At 41.1% G+C, this 18,053-nt stretch overlaps 1 protein-coding gene across 3 annotated transcripts in view; it reads left to right on the plus strand.

Moving 5' to 3' along the window:
- RAB4A (RAB4A, member RAS oncogene family) overlaps positions 1 to 17,586 on the plus strand; it is a 34,784-nt gene extending 17,198 nt beyond the window's left edge. Inside the window, exons 3-8 of one of the 3 annotated variants that reach the window (NR_073545.2) lie at positions 421 to 535; positions 7,540 to 7,602; positions 9,212 to 9,328; positions 10,669 to 10,764; positions 14,554 to 14,681; positions 15,498 to 17,586. Coding sequence is in view for 2 of the 3 variants with exons in the window: in NM_004578.4 (NP_004569.2) it covers positions 421 to 535; positions 7,540 to 7,602; positions 9,174 to 9,328; positions 10,669 to 10,764; positions 14,554 to 14,669 (545 nt within the window). In the remaining variant the exon portion in view is untranslated. Of the gene's footprint in view, positions 1 to 420; positions 536 to 7,539; positions 7,603 to 9,173; positions 9,329 to 10,668; positions 10,765 to 14,553; positions 14,682 to 15,497 lie in introns of all 3 variants that reach the window. The other 2 variants (NM_004578.4, NM_001271998.2) reach the window with 2 other exon arrangements.
- The last annotated feature ends 467 nt before the right edge of the window (positions 17,587 to 18,053 follow it).

An 18,053-nucleotide genomic window follows, 5' to 3' on the forward strand; every position in this document is an offset into this window, starting at 1 on the left:
AAATACAGTAGTTGAAACTGTCTCCACCTCATTACTTACTGAGTTCCACACCTGTCACTGGGCGTTATGCCCTTCAGAATGGTACGCTGGTATGTCAGCAGTCACCATCTGTGAGCATCTTAACAGTGCACAGTTGGATGTGGTTCGGATATGGCAGGGCTACTTTCAGGCATAGGTTTTTAAATGTATCATTTGTTTGGGGGTTTTGAGAAAAATCTTTATGTCTCTTTGAGAATAGGGGCTGTGTGTATTATCTTTAAAACTAAATGCATCTTCTCAATGGAATGTTGGAGAAATGAATGGCTAGAGTAATGTCCATTCCCCATTGATGTAACTCTTGGTTTTAGTGTCACTTGTTTAAATCTATAAGCCTGTTAATGTTCTAAAATTAAATATGCTGTTCTTGTTTTTCTTTTTTAGTCAAAGATGACTCAAATCATACAATAGGAGTGGAATTTGGTTCAAAGATAATAAATGTTGGTGGTAAATATGTAAAGTTACAAATATGGGATACAGCAGGACAAGAACGATTCAGGTAGCTTTTCTCTAACTTAATAAAAATATTTGAAAATTTGATTTAAAATAATTGATGATATTCTCTCAATATATAAGGTCTCACTCCCTCCCCAACACACCCCTTCCTTGTCCTAATCTCAGAAACTTCATTTTTGGAAACTTTGATTGACAAGACAGCTAAAATTTAGGTTAGCTCTCTGCAGCATGGATTACTAAAGAATACAGGAGGATCTCCGCGCAACTGCATTATAATTCGGAGGCTGACCCATTCTCAGGAGGATGTGGCACTGTGTATTGTACAGTATGTTTCTAGATTCAAATCAAAGCACAAGCTTGTTTTTCTGTGTTCCTTTTTTAAAGAAGAACTTTTTAAAACCTTGTGAGGGTTTGTTTTGTTTTACATTAACTAGAGCATGTTCTGATGTTTGATACACACTCCACAAAATATTCTCTCCACACTTTAATTACAATAGGGTCATAACTGAGGCTCAGAATGACTTCAGTCACTGCAAATGAGGTTACATGTTTAGTATTCTGTAACTACTAAAGCAAGAAAATAGATTAATATTTTAGTTGTGGTTTTTGCACAGATGCACAAAGTCAGAACTGATATTCATAGTTTTATAATTCAGTGAAATAAAATCCACCCCATTTGTAAACATTTCACTTGAAGTTGAGTACATGTCGTATATTAAATAATTGAAGTTTGGCTGGGCACAATGGCGCATGCCTGTAATCCCAGCACTTTGGGAGGCCGAGGCAGACCTCCTCACCTGAGGTCAGGAGTTCAAGACCAGCCTGGCCAACATGGTGTAACCCCTTCTCTACTAAAAATAAAAAAATTAGCCGGGCGTGGTGGCAGGTGCCTGTAATCCCAGCTACTCTGGAGGCTGAGGCAGGAAAATCGCTTGAACCCGGGAGGTGGAGGTTGCAGTGAGCTGAGATCACGCCATTGTACTCCAGCCTGGGCAACAAGAGCAAAACTCCATCTCAAAAATTAATTAAGTAATTGAAGTTCAATAATTGCTTCAAAAATACCATAACCACCTTTAATCACCATCATTTTTCTGGAAGCATTGATTAAACATGGTGGATTCAATTAGACATTTATGTCTTCCCTCTCAGAACCCCACTGAAATGTCTGTTAAGTAACTGAAATTGAAGTAACTCAAAAAGGCCAAGATTGAGTGAGTGCACAATTATGATTGAGAGATTTCCAAAAAAATCTTAAAGATAGGAAGTAGATGGTGCTCTGACAGCAGAAGGAGCTCCACCTTAAGTACTGTAATGGGGGAAGCCATTTCTTCCTCTGGAGTCCCAGAAAAGGTCAGGATTTGGAAGCATCAGGTTCTACAGGAGGTAGAGGTTACAGAGGTTCATGTTTACACACGAAATAAGAGGTTCAGTCTTTTACGTTGAAATGGAGTCTAGACTCAAGGTCATAAGGCCCACCTGAGGGCATGGGGTCAGGCCTGAAAAGAGGGAAATTAAGTGAAAATGAAAGCCTCTGGCCCCCAACCCACCTCCCCTACCTCTTCCCTGGTCGCTGGCAGCCAGGTGTGTATGTCCCACATAGGAGAAAGGAGCCTTCTCTGCAGAAAAATGAATAGTCAGAAAGGAAAGGCTTGAAGGTAGTGACATTTTGCTTTCCCAGTCAAACAGCCCAGTCTCTATCCAGTCATCTGAAAGTGAAACCCTCCAAGCCCACCTGCTCCACCCACACATAAAGAGCTTCTTTTAGACTTTTTCATTCCTTGCTCTTAATGATCAGGCAGAATTTTGAAGAAAGTTTCTATAGCAAAAGAGAGAGCTCAAAGTAAAGAAGCTGGAACTTTGAGGGAGTAAGAAAAACACACTAAAACCACAGTATCCTTAGGAAGAAGAGCAGAGATTGCATTGGAGTATGTAATAGAAACAAAGTCATACTTAAAAAGAGCAATCAGAATAATATGTTAAATAAACTCATGGTGAAAAATGGGAGAGATGACATAAAGAATCCTCCAGAATTAATCCAGAAGATGCAATGACTATTAGGAGTTCCAGAAGAGAGAAGAGCAGAGAGAATAATAGAAGAAAATGTTTCACTGAAGGAATGAGATTCCAGATTAATTGGCCCACCTAAAATCAAACATAGTAAGGAAAAAGTCCAGACCAGAGCGTGCCATGTGAAATTTCAGAACACCACAGATGAAGTAAGGAAGACCAGAAAGGTTCCAAGAGGGAAAAAGCAGCCACATATAAAGTGTGAAAAATGGAATTGCTTTGCACCCTTCCACAGCAACATTGGAAGCTAAAAGAAATGGAAGCATTGCCTTCAAAACTCAGGGTGAAATAATTCTTCAACCTAAAATTCTAAACTTAGCCAAACTGTAAGTGTGCAAGTAAAGGCTGAATACCAACAGATGTGCAAGAAAGAGGAGGAAGCCAAGATTATCTTTCTCAGAGACTTCTTAGAAATGTACTTTCTTAGAAAGTTTAGGAGGATATACTTCACCAGGACAAGGGCATGATCCCAGAAAGAGGAAAATGAAGCCAGCAGGAAGATCCAGCTCAGAATGGCACAGGTCTAGAGGGACAGTGAGGGAAGACTAAGACAGCAGTCAGTATGTGATGGCACTGCCCTTCCAGGAGGACCAGGGGAACAAGTGAGGGGCTCTGTAAGAGCTCACGACTCTGTCAGAGCGGGGAAGAAACAGCTCTGAAATTCAGTTTCCTAAACCTTTTGTAGAAATGAGAAGAAAGAAACTGTAAGATCCATGAGTGTAAGGGTTTTTGAGTTTTCTGTTTGTTTCCCCTGTGCCCAGAATAGTGTCTAGCACACAGGGGCGCAGTATGTGCTCTTTTAATGACTTAATTAAAGGAAACCCAGTTACCAGAAAGAGAGAACTCACCTCGCTTGTGGAGAGTAGGGCTCCCAGAGAGGAGTGAGGCAGGAGATGGCTGTGTTTAATTTAGAGACTTTTCGTGACATTTCACTTTAAAACTATCCACATGTATTATATTGGTTAAATTACTTTTGTAAGAAAATGTGGCACATATACACCATGGAATACTATGCAGCCATAAAAAATGATGAGTTCGTGTCCTTTGTAGGGACATGGATGAAATTGGAAATCATCATTCTCAGTAAACTATCGCAAGAACAAAAAACCAAACACTGCATATTCTCACTCATAGGTGGGAATTGAATAATGAGAACACATGGACACAGGAAGGGGAACATCACACTCTGGGGACTGTTGTGGGGTGGGGGGAGGGGGGAGGGATAGCAATGGGAGATATACCTAATGCTAGATGACGAGTTAGCGGTTGCAGCACACCAGCATGGCACATGTATACATACATATGTAACCTGCACATTGTGCACAGGTACCCTAAAACTTAAAGTATAATAATAATAAATAAATAAAAGGAAAAAAAAAAGAAAATTTAACACCTCAAAGTAGTATTCTTAAATGTGTATATTTGTATACTGGAGTAATTTGTATAAGAAACTATTTGTCAAGACAGTGTTGTAAAATAAATTTGAAAGTAAAATTTTAAGAAGTAGATGTGATACAGCTTATCTTGAAGAGAACTCGTAGTTCCCTCTTCCTCTAGAAGCTAGGTGCCTGCTGAGCAAGAATAGAAAGGCGCTGCCTCTTAATAGATGTGAACAAGCGAGGCCTTTCCCCCTGCCTTAGGAGGCTGTGGGGTGAAGAGCAAACAGTCCACTCTGCACCTCTACCTGCCACCAGTCCTTAAAGCGTGTGCCTCTTGCTAACAGTCTCAAGGCAGAGAGGAAAAGCTTCAAGCTACATGAAGACCTTGAAGCTTCCTGACTAAGAGCTAAAAAGTACATTTAAAAGTAGCTCTTCTTTGCCAAGCAGCAAAGTAATAATTAGTAATTTTGTTTGTTTGTTTGTTGCAAGCTGCACGGGTTTCTTTGTTCTCCAAGGATAGTTCATTCCTCTGGTGTCTTTTTTTTTCTGACATCAAGTCTATGGGGTTTTTCTTCACACCAGCCAGTCGGATTCTCTGACACCAGCTGGGTGTCCAACACTTCAATTCACTTTTGACACTACCCAGAGTTAAAGGGGACCCTCCAGGCTAAGGAGACCTAGACTGCCACCCCCGCTTCAGACACCAGTCACAACTGGAGTGCCCAGGCTTCCTGCACTTCTTGGCCAAATACAGATCTGGCAGTTCCCACACCCTCCATCCCTCACATCCCCATCAGGTTGGAGAATTTGTTAGAATGATTCACACAACTCAGGAAAAACATTTTTCCTGGCATTTACTGGTTTGTTAGATAGGTGTCAATTCAGGCACAGCCTGGTGGAGGAGATGCTTAGGAGACGAGGTATGGGGATGGGCCACCTCCCAGCACCTCCATGCCACCACCAGCCCAGGAGCTCTCTGACCCCCATCCTTTTGGTTTTTTTGTGGAGGTTTTATTACAAAGGCACGATTGATTAAAACATTATCCATTGATGATTGACTCAATCTCCAGCTCCTCTTTCCTCCCCAGAGGGCTGAGGTGAGGCTATAAGTTCCAGCACTCTCCTCACTCGGTGAGGGCTCCCACGGCCACAGCCCCGATCCCAAGGCTCTCTAGCCTGCTACTCTTCCCACAGTTATCTCCTTGGCTTACAAAAGACACCTTTATCACTAAGGAAATCACAGGGGTTTGGGCCTCTGTGCCAGGAACCTGGGACGAAGACCAAATATATATTTTTTAATTTAATTAGGCCACAGTTAAGTTCTGGGAATGTCTAGCTAGCAGTGGTCCAGGCCCTGTGCTAGGCACTGGGATCCTCTGGTGAGTGAGACAGCAGAGCCCTGCCCCATGGAGGGGAGGCAGGCAGCCAACACAGAGACAGAGACAGAAAGAGCATCCCACCAAGTGGGATGGTGCCACCCAGGAGACAGCACGCTGAGATAGAGGGGGTCCACTGGATGGGGATGCTTGGGGAACGTTGCTGAGGAGATAGAGTTAATGAGACCCAAGGGACAAGGAAAGCCAGCGGTGTGACGAGCCCAGACGGGAGTGGCAGGGGCTGGGAGCAGGGAAGAGAATGGGGCCAAAGGGACAGGTACAGTGACGGAGATGTCCTGTCCTGGGCCTTGATGAGTTGGGCTGCTCTGAAGAATGGACTGTGGGCCACACATGGCAGCAGGGACAGCAGCGTGGGCAGACACAGGATTTGTGTAGTGTAGGAGACTGCACTAGGCTGGCGGAGTGAATGTGGAGGTGCACAGGAATTGAGGATGAATGTGGAGCTGATTTGCTTTAGAAACAGGGTGCGTGGTGATGCCTCTTCCTAGGCCAGGACGGGCCTGGAGGGTGGGACCAAAAAGAGTCCTGCTGTGCAGATGTTAAGTTTGACATGTTTATCAGGCAGTCTCATGGAGATATGGAGGCAGCACTTGGATCTGAGCTGGAGACAAAATTTGAGTCGAATGTTAAGAGAGCCCAGGACCCAGCTCTGGGGAATCGCAATCCCAGCAGGGCAGATTCAGAAGAATGACCAGAGCCAGAGAAGTGGCTGGTGAGCGGGAGGAAGACTAGCAGAGTGCAGGGCGCAGAGGCTGCGCGAGTGAGTGAGGACAGAAATGCCCACTCCAGCTTCGGTTGCAGAGAGGGTGGGGACCTTGACAGGCTTTTGGGGAGTAGCAGAGATGGACACTAGGTTGGCGGTGAAGAAGAGGAAGCTGCAGGTAAAGACAGCTCTTTCAGAAAGTTGGATGTGGGGCCACGCGTGGTGGCTCACGCCTGTAATCCCAGCACTTTGGGAGGCCGAGGCGGGTGGATCATCCGAGGTCAAGAGTTCGAGACCAGCCTGGCTAACATGGGGAAACCCCGTCTGTACTAAAAATACAAAAATTAGCCAGGCGTGGTGGCGGGTGCAGCTACTCAGGAGGCTGAGGCAGGAGAATTGCTTGAACCTGGGAGGCAGAGGTTGCAGAGAGCTGAGATCGCGCCATTGCACTCTAGCCTGGGTAACGAGCGAAACTCTGTCTCAAAAAAGACAGTTGGATGTGGAGAAGAGCAGACAGTGGGACAGTAACTGAAAAGATGGTGCAGCATATTTCTGTTTTGTGTTTTAAGATGGGCGGTACCAGAGCCAATTTATTTTTATTTTGCTAATAGGAAAAATCCTGAACTCCTGGCTTTTTTTTTTTTTTCTTTCTGTTGCCTGGGCTGGAGTGCAGTGGCATGATCGCTCACCGTCACCTCAAATTCCTGGGATCAAACAGTCCTTCTGTCTCAGCCTCCTGAGTAGCTGGGATTACAGGTGTGTACTGCCATACCTGGCTAATTTTTTGTAGAGACAGGGTCTCTCTCTCTTACCCAGGCTGGTCTCAAACTCCTGGCCTCAAGCAGTCCTCCCTCCTGGGCCTCCTAAAGTGCTGGGATTATAGGTGTCCGGCCACTAATGGGAAAAATCTCACAAAGAGGGTGAGATTGACAATGTAGGGGAAAACATGTATGACCAAAAGACGCCTTCTTGAATGTGAGAGTGGATATGACATACTGGGACACTCAGTTTTCCCGTAGTAATAGGGCAGGGATGCAGGTGGGTGTAGGGCCGTGGTGACTATGGATTCCTGTGGTGACTATGGATTCCACCGCGCCGAGAGGTGGCGAGAACTGGAAGAGATGGAGAAAATTGTGCCAGGGAGTGGGGTAGATGAGGAGCTCGCAGAGAAGTGAGTGGATTGCTGAGCCCCTTAGTGTCCATCTAGGGGGTGGTGCTGGCTTCCGCAGACAGCTCACCCTGCTAGGAGTTCTCAAAGGAGACATCCATCAGAGAGCTGCATCCGCTGTGAAGGAATCTCCTACTTGCCACAGTGATGTGATTTCAGGCAGAATAACCCCTCACATGTATGTTCAAATATCTTTGAATCATTTCTCTTTTAAACCAGTGTCTGTCCCTGTGTTGTGGTTTACAAAGCAAGCATGGGTGTTTTTTCATGGGAAAGTGGGATACAGTAAAGGGTCTCAATTGGTTGAAAGTAAAACCAGTATAATTCTTCCAGGTCCGTGACGAGAAGTTATTACCGAGGCGCGGCCGGGGCTCTCCTCGTCTATGATATCACCAGGTAATGCCAGCTCCCCCTGGTGAAGGAGGGTGCTCAGTGCCCTGCAGCCCAAAGGCTGGTCTTGGCGAGGTGCCCTCCGTGCAGTGTGTGCTTTGTGTGTCCAGGGACGGTGGTGTGGCTGGCATCCAGGAAGCCCCTTAGCCCTTCCATCTGGGGTCTCAGAGGTCTTTGAACGAGCCCCTACCACTGCTTTCCCCTGCAGAGAAATGTGTTTGTAAGGTTTTAGGTGGATAAAGCAATCCATGCTATTACATTACATTTCTTGACATGATGCTTGGACACTTTCCTTAAGGTTCACAAAGCTTTATGTATGGAAAGTTATTAGAAGTGAGTTGAGAGAGGGTGAGGACACAGACTCTGGGCTGAGATTGCTGGGTTCAAATCCCAGTTGCAGTCACTAGCTGATTGACCCTCTCAGGCCAGGTGCTTCAGCTGCCTGGGCCTTAGTTTCCTTGTCTGTAAGATGGAGATAGTAATAATCACATGATCCTCAGGAGGTTATTGGGAGGTTTAAATTAGTTAATGTGAAGCAGTTAGTAGCTGTTTGTGACATATGGCAATTTAACTGAAATAAAAAATTCTGTTCCTCGATTGCACTGGCCACATTTCAGGTCCTCAGTAGCTACATGTGGCTGGTGACTACCATATCAGGACAGATTATAGAACATTCCTATCCATGAGGAAATCACATTCAGCAGTGCTGATCTCAGTAGCACTGTCTTAGAAATGTGTCATCTAAATGGCATCATCTGGGGGCCCTTTCTGGGTAGGAACCTGTCCAGTGAGAGGATGTCACTCAGCAGCCGCTTCCCTCTTCCAATCTGTGTCCCGGGAGCCAGGCGTTCTGAGAGGAGGAAGGCAGTTTCTGGCCCAGCCCTTCCTGCACTTGCCCAGGCAGTGAAAGGCTCAGCCTGCTAAAGTGTGAAGTCATCAATCAGGCTAGCAAAGTGCCATGAGAAGAACTCAATCCTTAGACACATGAGGGCCAAAAATAGTAAGTCTGAGAGTTGGTCCTGGAGTCAGACAGAGCTGGTCAAGTCCTGACTTTGCCACTGGCTGCTGTATGACCTAGGGCAACGTAATTAATCTCTCTGGGCCTTGGATTTCTCAGAGAAAAGGGGAATAATGGCAGTCTGTGTCATGGAATCTTTATAAAGAATCAATGTGATAAAGTCCTGTAAAACAAAGTGCTGGCACATTGCAAGGATTCATTAAGTGGCAGCAATTAGCTATGAAATCTTGCCTACCAGAGTCTAGTGCCTTGCGCATGCTAAGAGCTCAATAGATATTTGTCAATTGAATGAAGGAACATCTCTTTCCTTTTGCCCCATGACTGGGCAAACGAAAAATAACAAAATATCTCACTTGCTGTCTCATTTTACCAGAAACAAAATGGAACAAACTGTGGGTATGGTATATACTTGGTGCATTCACGTTGTCTGAGTTATCTTAAAGGTGTTGGTGCCATTACCCTGAAATGTTGAAAAGCGGTATGAGTAGTGAGAATGACTGGAAAGAGTTGCTAGTTTTATAAAATACATGTATTATTTTCACAATCTTATATTACGCAGCCGAGAAACCTACAATGCGCTTACTAATTGGTTAACAGATGCCCGAATGCTAGCGAGCCAGAACATTGTGATCATCCTTTGTGGAAACAAGAAGGACCTGGATGCAGATCGTGAAGTTACCTTCTTAGAAGCCTCCAGATTTGCTCAAGAAAATGGCAAGTGACCTTTTACTTCTTACTATTTTTCAAATCGCATATTTGAGGATAATAGCATTTCTTTGAATTTAAAACATATATTGGAATTTCAAGATTAAACTAGATTTAGGAAATGTGGAATTTCCAATTGTTTTTTTCTATAAATTAGACCTATTAAGCATATTTTTAGTATATTGCATTCTGCCTGCAGAAGTTACTATAATGATAAAAGCAAATGTAGTAACATTATGTAATGACTTTTCAGTCTAGGGTCTTTGAATATTAGAGATCTTGGGCTAAAGTGAAATTAATAATATTTAAAGACTCTAACCAAATGATGTCATTATTTTTTAATGTATTTTGAAGGAAATTTGGTGAAATATTAACCCAAATAGAAAGGGAAGCGGAAGAAGAAATACTTGGCTTTTTGGCTTCATTTTAAGTCATTTGGTTATAGACAACTTTGAAACTTTTTTGAATTTCCATATAGAATACATGAAAATGCCACATAAAATTAATGGTTGCTTAATTAATGGATAAGAGAATGATTTTTTAAAACTTCAGACATTTTAAATAACTTTAATTTTTAGAACCAAAAACTAGAATCCTAATATCAATATTTGGACTCTAAGATTCCAAATTATATTGTAACTTGACTAGTTTCTTGCTAAGAAAATAAACATGAGAGAAATCCATATGCCATCATGACAGTTTTTAAAAAGCTGTTTAGAAATCAGAAGTTTAGAATGTTAACAAAGATGAAAAGGAATTTAGATGTCATCTAAACTCATTTTTACAAGTGAGGATACAAGAGGCTAGAGAGGCCATGGTTTGCTGAGAGAGCAAGCAGAACAGGCCTTTCTGCTGAGATGAACAGCCACTCTGGTGGGTAGAAAGAGTATTAATTCCTATACTGTCTCTTCATGGGCTGTATGACAGATTGCAATATAGTCCCCTAAAAAGTGTAAACACTTGTAGGTCATATTTGTGGTGACACTCAGATTGTTTGAAGAAGGACATTGCAACTTTCCCTGAAATCAATGGCAGGGCCATTTTGGCAAGCCAGCTCCTTTCTGATGGGCTGTCATTTGGCTGGGGAAGCCTGGTTGCTTGCTCAGCCCCTTCACCAGGTTAAGTGCTAGCACAAGATAGCAGTTACTTTTCAGAAAAGGCTAAAATTCTTTTAACATTTAAAAAACACATAATGACATATATTGATTTTATATTTACAGAAATATATGGTTTTAGGTCATAAATTATATTTCGTCTGCTTTTCTAAGAGAATGCTACACAGGCTTTTGTAAGTGAAAATTATGATCATCTTCTAAACATGACTTTATTTTGTTTGATGTCCATTTTAGAGCTGATGTTTTTGGAAACAAGTGCGCTCACAGGGGAGAATGTAGAAGAGGCTTTTGTACAGTGTGCAAGAAAAATACTTAACAAAATCGAATCAGGTAAAAGCCTTTCCATTAAGCAACTTTTCTTCTGCATATTTTACACTGTAGCTCAGTAGATCACCTTTTAATTAATAGTTTCAGGGTGATTTAGTAAAGAATGTTCTCTCTCTACCTGCCAACCTAAAATCATCACATATGGGTTCAAAGGTCCTGTTCTTATCAGGATGAAAGCCCCATCCTTATCAGGATGGTTTCCATGGTGATGAAAGTGGATGGGCACACCAGCTCAGCTGTGGAAAGGTAGTCAAGGTTTCAGGGAGTGTTTGCATTTAGAACCATAGTCTTTCTTTGGTCCTTCACTAAACGGAGGAAGAATAGGCCTTTGTCCACTCTGTCAACAGCACGCTAATTCTGTTGGGCCAGTGGTCATGTGTAAGGGAGTTATAGGTACATGGTATAGTGTTGATTGTTGCAGATCGGGCATCATGGAACTATGGAGTCCAGAGTAATTTTATTTCTGAAGCTTACTGAGCATGCCTCAATTATAAAATGCCTCATTTTTGTATTTGCTTATTAAAATAATTTAAAATAATCCTAATGTAGGCAGCTGACGAAATACTGTGTAGTTGTCATTTACTAAAGTAACTATATATGGGCATCACCTTTTAATTGATTCATTCAAACATCTGAGTGCCTATTTGTCAGATGCTGGGATACAAAAATGAATAAATCACACCCCTTGCCCCCCAAGAAACTGTCTTTCATGGGAGACAGTCAGAGGATAATTATAATATCACAAGGCTGATGTAGTAGCTGAGAGATGCACAGGCTCAGGGTAACGTGAAGAAGGGGACCTGCCCCAGCCAGAGGATAGAGGAGGTGTCAGGGAGGGCTTTCAGGGGAGGTCTTAGATGAGCTCAGTCTTTCAGAATATAAGGAAGAGTGAGCCAGCAAAGGGAGTGAGGAAGAGGGAATAGCAGGAGAAAAGGTTGAAGAAAGGCAGGAGCCAGCCAGTCCTCATCAAGGATCTAGAACTTTATCTTGTAGATTACCAATTGTCAACCCTGGATGAGCACTAGAGACACTGAGATGCATTAAAAGTTCTAATCCCAGGCTCTGCCTCTGGAGACGCTGAACTAATTGGGCTGAAGTATGGTCGAGGCACCAGTGTTTTTAAATGTTTACTCATGCTGTTCTAATGTTCATCCAAGATTGAGAACCACTGCTGTAGGTGGTGGGTTGTCAGCAGGTGGGTGATGTGATTGGGTTGTGACTTGAGATAAGTCATGTATGTAGGAGGTTATGTTGAAAACAAACTGAAGGGAGGACAGGCCTGGAGGCCAGGATACCAATTATAAGGCATTTTTGAGTAATCCTAGTAAGAGATGACTGATTAATGCTTTAACAAGGATATGGAAGCAGAGATGGAGAGAGAGATGGATCTAAGATATATTTAGGCAGTAGCATCTTATGACTCATATGCCCAATAGTGGGACAGGACAACTGACTCTTAGGTGGGACAAGGTGAGGAGGAAGGGCCAGCAGGGGAGGAGGAACCAAGGATGACTCGCAGCTGTCACACTGGTGTCTCTAGACAGAGATGGGGTGGAGCCAGAGGAGAAGCAGGGAATGTGAGGGAGTAAAGATGGCTCTGTTGCAAATGTGCGGCCTTTGCGGTAACGCTGAGACATGAACATGGAGTTATCTAGTAAGCTTGGGGAAGAGTTCCTGGCTGGCAGTATAAGTTTGGGAACCATCAATATATAGGAACAGCTAAAACTGTGGAAGCAATGTGATCGTCCGGAGAACAGTGTTTAAGGAGAGCAGTGATCAACAGAACCCTGGAGTTGGAGGATGAGCAGAGGAAGAGGAATCTACAAAAAAGATGAAAAAGGAAATGGTCGGAAATGTGTGAAGAAAATCAAGGGAATGTGGGTGTCACTTAAGCCCTAATTATAAGCAAATCAAAGGAGTGTTCATTATGTAATGTAATAGTAACAGAGGGAAGCCTCATAAGCTAAGACTGAGCTGAAAAACACACATTGGGATGGGGAATAGAAAGTCAGTGATCATTTTGATCAAGAACAATTTCAGCAGAATTATGAAGGTAGAAGATGGCTGGCCGTCCGTTAGGAAGAAGTAGGAGGTGAGCAAGCAGAGTGTCCACTCCTCTCCTGAGGAAGCACAGGCTGGCACTGTAGGGTGCAAAGGGTTAATTTAAAGCTGGGGTTGTGGGTGATGGGAGAAATTCCAGCATGTTTAAATGCTGAGGGGGAAGGAGAGAAGAATGGGCAAGGAGAGGGCAGGGAAGAAGGAGGGTGCTAGGTGAAGTAGGAGGGAGGAGAGTCGGGCCCAGGTAGAAGGGCTGGGTTTCAACAGAAGTGGACATGTCATCTTTTTGTATTTTTTTTTATCAGAAAGAAAAAAAAATTACTAAGCTTGGTACAAAAACCAAGACACTGTTACATAAATCCTTACAGTTGGCTTACTGTTGAGTATTATTAAGCTCAGCATGAGGTTGTATTTACATGACCTTGCTATTTTAATATTGTATCCCTGAATGCATCAGATAGAACAACTCATATGCAGTCTTCCAAGATGTGTTTTTTTCTGAGATCATCAAAATCATAAGTACCTCTAGGTGAAAAAAATATAAGAGTATAAATTAGGATTCTTCAGCAGTACTTTTTATTTTTTTAATGGGTAATACATTCAGAAACCATTGTTTTCTTCCCTTTTTTTATATAAAATGTATCATATGATAGACTACCACGCCTTGCTTTTTTACTTACTATTGTATAACCTACAAATCATTACAAATCAGCTTATAGTTTCCGTATATACATATAATACATAAGGTACATATATATAACATAATGTCATACATAATGTGTGTGTGTAATGTGTAATATGGGTTGAGTATCCCTAATCCAAAATGTTCCAAAATCTGAAACTTTTTAATTGCCAACATTGCCACTGAAAGGAAATGCTCATTGGAGCACTTCAAATTTCAGATTTTCAGATTAGGGATGCTGAACTGGTAAGTATAATGGAAATATTTCAAAATCTGAAAAAATCCAAAATACTTCTGGTTTCAAGTATTTTGGATAAGGACTGCTCAACCTATATTTGGATAAGGACCGCTCAACCTATGTGTTACCATAATTCATGAGCCAGTCTACTTTGGACATTTGGGTTGTTGCCAGTATTTTGCTATTATAAGTAATGTTACAGTAAATAATTATATATATATATATATATATATATATATATATATATATATATATATATATATTTTTTTTTTTTTTTTACATGTGCATGAGTCTGTGTGTCAGACAAATGCCCAGAAGTGGAATTGCTGGGTCAGAGAACATAAGCATTTGGGATCTTGGTGTAGAGGCTGTCACATTTTCTCCTAGTGATGGGCTTATTTCACTAAAGCCATGTCCACAGCATGTAGTATCATCATACTTGGACTTTTGGCCCATCTAATAAGTGAAAAATTATATCTTTGTAATTTAATTTTAAATTATTTTATATAAATAATGTATTCACATAATTTGAAATTCAAGAAGTATAAAAGAGTATGCAATGAAAAGTCCCCCTGTTACCACCCCCTCCTGTCCTCAGCCATCTAGAACTCCTCCGAATCAGCCGTTCCTTATGTATCCTGCTAGAGATGTTTTGTGCCGGTGCAAGCAAACATATATATAGTTTTTTCCCTTTATTCAGAATGGTGGGATATATACACAGTGTTCTGTACTTTGCTTTTTTTTTTTTTAATCTATTTTTGGAATCAAAGAAACATAAAAGCCTTTTTTAAAAGAAGACTTGCTTGGTCCTTAGGTGAGCTGGACCCAGAAAGAATGGGCTCAGGTATTCAGTACGGAGATGCTGCCTTGAGACAGCTGAGGTCACCGCGGCGCGCACAGGCCCCGAACGCTCAGGAGTGTGGTTGTTAGGAGAGCACACAGGTGGGTTTGGACACCTCCCTGCCCTGAGTTCCTGGCAAGCTCAAGTGCAGAGGCCTGTTAAAGCTTTGGGAAGCTGCAGTATGAAAAAGAGGGGATCCCAGCCGGGTGCAGTGGCTCTAATTCCAGCACTTTGGGAGGCTGAGGTGGGCCAGTTGCTTTAGTTCAGGAGTTCGAGACCAGCCTAGGCATCATGGTGAAACATCATCTCTACAAAATACAAAAAATTAGCCAGGCGTGGTGGCGTGCACCTGTAGTCCCAGCTACTCATGAAACTTAGGAGAATTGCTTGAGCCTGGGAGGCGGAGGTTGCAGTAAGCCAAGATCATACCACTGCACTCCAGCCTGGGCGATAAAGTGAGAACTGTCTCAGAAAAAAAAAAAAGAGAAGGAGAAGAACCCATAAGTTAAAGTTGGATGTTCTAACTGAAAGAATTTATACTCTATAGGAAATTCTTATGCTCTTGTTCAGAAAGAAAGGAAGGGCAGGTGGTGGTTGATGGGAAGGGTGAGATATCCTGATTCCTTATGTCAGTGAGGAGCCCTTCCTGGATTGATTGAGGTCTAAATGAATGTGCCTTTTGCTAAAACAGGAGGCCTATTTATAAAATTGACAAATGTCTCCCTTTAACTTTTTAAAGCTTCTTCTTTTTTCCCATTTACCACAGTGGACGTTTTATTTATAGTCGACATCATGTAGTAGGCACAGGCAAGTGTTAAAAGACAAGATATTCACGAATTCTCTTTTAGGCTTTAAGCTGTATTTACTTTTGCATTTATAGTTATGCAGATTTTGAAATTGTTCTTAATATTTTTTAGGTGTTCATACAGTGGCATTTGGGACACAATCGTTGGAACCTGAAGAATCTGAAGTTTTTTTTACCACCATCTTTTTCTACTCTGTATGGAAGTAGATCTTTATGGGGAAAAGAGAATTTGGGGTGTTCTGCAAGCCAGTCAAAGTGGCACAGCAAATCATATAAATCGAATTAAATGGACAACACCGTTAGATGTGTATGTAAAAATTTTCTGTTTCATATTTTTCCTTTCACTTTCGGTTTAAAACATGCTATATGTACTGTATGTCCTGTAGCCCAGTGCGGCTCCACAGCATGGAATCTGATGTATGATATGATAGAATGTGGCACTAAATGCAGTTTCAGATTTTATTTTTTTTAATCATATGAACTAAAATTGTCAATTGTGAGGTGTGCTTTTCTCATCATGTTGGTTATATTGCACAATTGGTTATATTTATGACCTGATATTCAAAGACTCTGGCATTGATAGCCAGTGTGTTTTCTTATTTAACTCCGTTTACTACATTCTACATGGTGTTTACGTGATCCACACTTGAAATACTAGATCAGTAGACATTCACTAATATACCAAAATAAAATGAAAAATTGAGTTTTTCCGTGAACTTTATACTGTCCAGCTCTGTTGATTTTAAAGCCTCTTCATCCAGGTCAGTTCAGGAAGTATATCTGGAGTACCTGCTCTGTTTTTGGCTGTGAGACTAGCACTAAGGATTCTGGTACCTTTACCCAAACCTACTGGGCTACTAATACTTCTCTCAGCAGTTGATCAAATACAATAGACCATGTAAGCTGGGGCCGCTCATCCACTTCCAGTTTGCTGGTCTCCCTGCTAGAAAACACATTGTACTGTGCTTTTTCTGGAATTCAGTATAATGGCATCACTGCCTGTTTTTCACATCTTTTGTTTCCTGTTCATTTTAAGGAAACCTACTAAATCCAGTTAATATTAAATGGACACCACTCATTAAGAAATTTCTTTATGGCTTCTGCTGAATACTTAAATGCCTTACTACAGTTATCCAGTTGACATGTTTTTAATTCATATAAGGTATATTGGGTATATTGAAGTATATATTGTATTACAAAGACTTGTTCTTGTATTTTAAAATGTCAGTGCAAAAAATATATGGTGGAACCTTTCTTTAAAGTTGAAATGCAGTATTATTTAAATCTGAAAGGTTAAAAAGCTTTCTTCACCTTATATATGTTCTTCCACTGTGACTTTTTAGTTGAAGACTAGTAAATTAACTTTTAGTTAGAAGATGCCTACTGCTTTTGTTGTTTATTTTAATCAGCAGAGCACAGAGACACATAAAAACTCTGGGAAATGACTAGGATAAAAATATCAGTATGTATCTGTTTTAGATATTTTGAGTTTTGCTTTTTTTATGCCTTGAATATTTTATTTCAAAAAGTATCTGAAGCAAATTCTCAGACTGAACTACTTCTTAGACCTCACTGTAAGAATATTTTATTCAATGTCTCATTTATGATAGATTTGCAAGCTGCTCATTTTTGAACAGCTTTTTGCATGGGATAGGAGCATGTCTATTCTAACACATCAGCTTATTCAAAAGCAAGAATTTTAAAAATAAGATAAATGTAAAGTTGTTTTATAAACGATCCTGTTAATTAAACCACAGACACCATATATCCTTCTGCATCCTTTGGCCAATAAAAGTTGCTGGAGAACCAAACCATGGTGGTTCTTAATCAGGCTTTGCCTTTAGGGAGAATGAGGAGGAGAGATAATTGGGTATTGTTCAGGCTAGTAATAAATGTCATGTTTCTATTTCCCGCAACTCATTAAGTTTTCAGGAAGCTCTTAATTTAGATTTCTAGGAAAGTAATTATTCAGTCTTCCTAGAAAAAGATTATAAAGACCATTTAAACTGGAGATTGTAATTTATTCTTTTACAGTCCAGCATTTAAGTGAAAATGAGAACATCACAATTTGGGAATCTGTAATGGTTTTGTTGAAAACATTACTTGTGGCTTGTATAAGAGTGGCTGAATTCAAGAACATTGATTCTTAGCAGATCAATAATAGTATTTAAAGAATCTGATGCTAAAATTAGAAACCTAAATGATTTGTAATTTGTACTGTGACACAGCAGATGATGTTTCCTTATTTTCTGACATCTTTTTATGTTTTTGGAGAGGCACATTAGAGGTGCTTTAAAAAAAACCTGTGAATTTTTAATATTTTGTGGTGCCATTTGTGAAGCACCTCTTTCCTGATCCATCTAACTACTCCTGTACGTACAGTCTGAGTTTGTCCCACTTGTTGACTTGGTTACTTCCCTATTGTATTTATTTCTTTAAAGGGTTGTTTTAGAATTTTAGAGGAATTTATCTGAGAACACAAGATCTACCACTTTCAGTAGGACAAGTGACCCAAGTTGTTGGTCACCAGCCTCAAAGTTTAGAAAACACTACCTACTACCTACTGATAGAAAATAATGTGGTTAGGGAATCTGTTTTTTTCTTTTAAAAGAGCATTTATGTACTTTTTTCCTTCATATATCCCCCTCATTTTTTTTCTTTTTCTTTC

The sequence above is a fragment of the Homo sapiens genome, chromosome 1 (genome assembly GCF_000001405.40).
Source record: "Homo sapiens chromosome 1, GRCh38.p14 Primary Assembly".
NCBI lineage: Eukaryota > Metazoa > Chordata > Mammalia > Primates > Hominidae > Homo > Homo sapiens.